At 43.6% G+C, this 2,423-nt stretch overlaps 1 pseudogene; it reads right to left on the minus strand.

Annotated features, from left to right (window-relative positions):
• On the minus strand, nucleotides 1-1,026 carry C5orf15P1 (C5orf15 pseudogene 1; annotated as a pseudogene).

The following is a 2,423-nucleotide window of genomic DNA, read 5'->3' on the forward strand; positions in this document are numbered from 1 at the left end:
TGATTAAACTCAACTCTAAAAGTACAGATCAAAAAATTATATACTCCTTGTTTATGACATTTAATTTCCAAAGCACCAAGGCAAAAGAGAGACCCACCTCTCATTTAAGTACCAATTGCCTATGGCAAACATCTGCACAATATCATATAAAAAGTCAAGCAAATAAAATTACATAATAAGCAAACTCAAATCACAGGGCAAAAAATATAATTATTGGTAATCTTCAAAGAAGACATTGCCTCATTAACATTCTGATCTAGGCAATGGTATTCTACTGTTTTGGAACAAAGGCCATCACGCCATTTTCTGCTTTGAACTAGAAGAAAAATCTTCCTTTTTTTGTGATATGTAATGTAGACAATAGCAATGCAAAAAGCAAAAATAATAAGATGAAAAAAGAAATGGCTATCTTCCTCTTCTATATTTGAGGATGGCATCTTAAAAGATTTCACTGACTGTTCAATTTCCATGTAACCCCTGTTTTCTTCCAAGGTGTCATCAGACTCGTCGTCATCCCTGTGGCCCGTGGTCCAGTAGTCTGGTTCCATAGTCTGTTCCATAGTCTGGTTCTCCATAATTGCCACTGTCCAGAGTGTCTTTGGCTGTGGATGGAGAACTGTTCAGCGTGAGAAGATCCTCCTCCTCTATGCTAGGATCTTCATTGTTATCAGCTTCCTCTTGAGACAGAGGTGTAGGTGAGGGATGAGGGGCCACAGATGCTCCTCCACTTTTCTCAGTATTCATTGTGGGAGGGAGGGTGGTACTGATTTGGGAAATAGAAGATTTGGTTTGTTTTTCATGTGTTAAAGCATTCACATTTGGGGTAGAAATATCTGAGTTGAGTACAGTTTGAATCAGTGAATCAGTCCATGATACAACACTGGATAGAGTGGCGGACACAAGGAGGAGCGCCAAGACCAGCGGCCGCACCAGCCCCGCAAAGGCTTGGATGGCCGACTTGGGCAGCAGTTTTGCTTGTGCGGGCCCCCTCATCCTCCTCAGGGCAGCAGCAACCATAACGGACTCTTTTTTTTTTTTTTTTTTTTTTAATGTATTATCACTCTGTTGCCCAGGCTGGAGTGCAGTAGCATGATCCTGGCTCACTGCAACCTCCGCCTCCTGGGTTCAAGCAATTCTCCTGCCTCAGCCTCCCAAGTAGCTGGAATTACAGGTGTGTGCAACCAAGCCCACCTAATTTTTGTATTTTTAGTAGAGACATGGTTTCATCATTTTGGCCAGGCTGCTCTTGAACTCCTGACCTCAGGAGATCCTCCTGCCTTGGCCTCCCAAAGTGCTAGAATTACAGGCATAAGCCACCACACCCAGCCCCAAGCTTCTTAGAAGTGTTGTTTTTGTCTGGATGTAGTGGTTCACACTTGTAATCCCAGCACTTATGGAGGCCGAGGTGAGAGGATTCCTTGAGCCTAGGAGTTTGAGACCAGCCTGGGCAACATAATGAGACTTGTCTCTACAAAAAAAATTTAAAAATTAGTTAGGTGTGGTGGTGCATGCCAGTAGTCCCGGCTATTTGGGAGATTGATGTGGGAGGATCACTTAAGCCTGGGAGGTTGAGGCTGCAGCAAGCTATGATTGTGCCACTGCAGTCCTGCCTGAGTGTAGTGACAGAGTGAGATCCTGTCTTGGAAAAAAAGAAAAAAGGAATATGATTAGCCTCATATTCCTCACCTTCCAGTCACTTCTCAAACCACTTCAGTCTTCATCATTTGCTGTTAGTTAACTAGTTAATGAGGTCAATAAGTTTAATTAATTAATTAAACCATTTCATTAACTAGGTAAAATATGTGTGGGGTAACCATTATGTGCCAGGTACTGTTCTAGGCTCTGAGCAGTGACAAAATTGGCAGAAACTCTTGCTGAGTGGAATTTGTAATCTAGTGGCGAGAAAATGAACAAAATAATAAGTAAAATATCCAGTATGTTAGAAAATAACAAGTGCTGTGGAGAAAAACCAATCAAGGAAGGGAGATAGGGAGTGCTCACTGCGAACATGACGTTTGAGCAAAGAAGGTGAGTTAGTGTGCCCTTGGCAGAGGGAACAGCAAGGGTAAGAACCCTTGTATGGGAGTGTCTGGAATGTTCAAGGAACTGCAAGGACCAATATCGCTGGAGTCAATAGGAATATGGGGCAGAGTGATAGGAGATGGGGTTGGAGAAGTAACGGGGGTCTATGTTACTTACAGCCTTACATGCCATTCTAAAGATTTTGGCTTTTGGCCGGGTGCGGTGGCTCATGCCTGTAATCCCAGCACTTTGGGAGGCTGAGGCGGGTGGATCACCTGAAGTCAAGAGTTCGAGACCAGCCTGGCCAAACTGGTGAAACCCCATCTCTACTAAAAATACAAAAAAATTATCCACGCATGGTGCTACATGCCTGTAATGCCAACTACTTGGGAGGCCGAGGC

Source organism: Homo sapiens, chromosome 1 (genome assembly GCF_000001405.40).
Source record: "Homo sapiens chromosome 1, GRCh38.p14 Primary Assembly".
Lineage (NCBI taxonomy): Eukaryota > Metazoa > Chordata > Mammalia > Primates > Hominidae > Homo > Homo sapiens.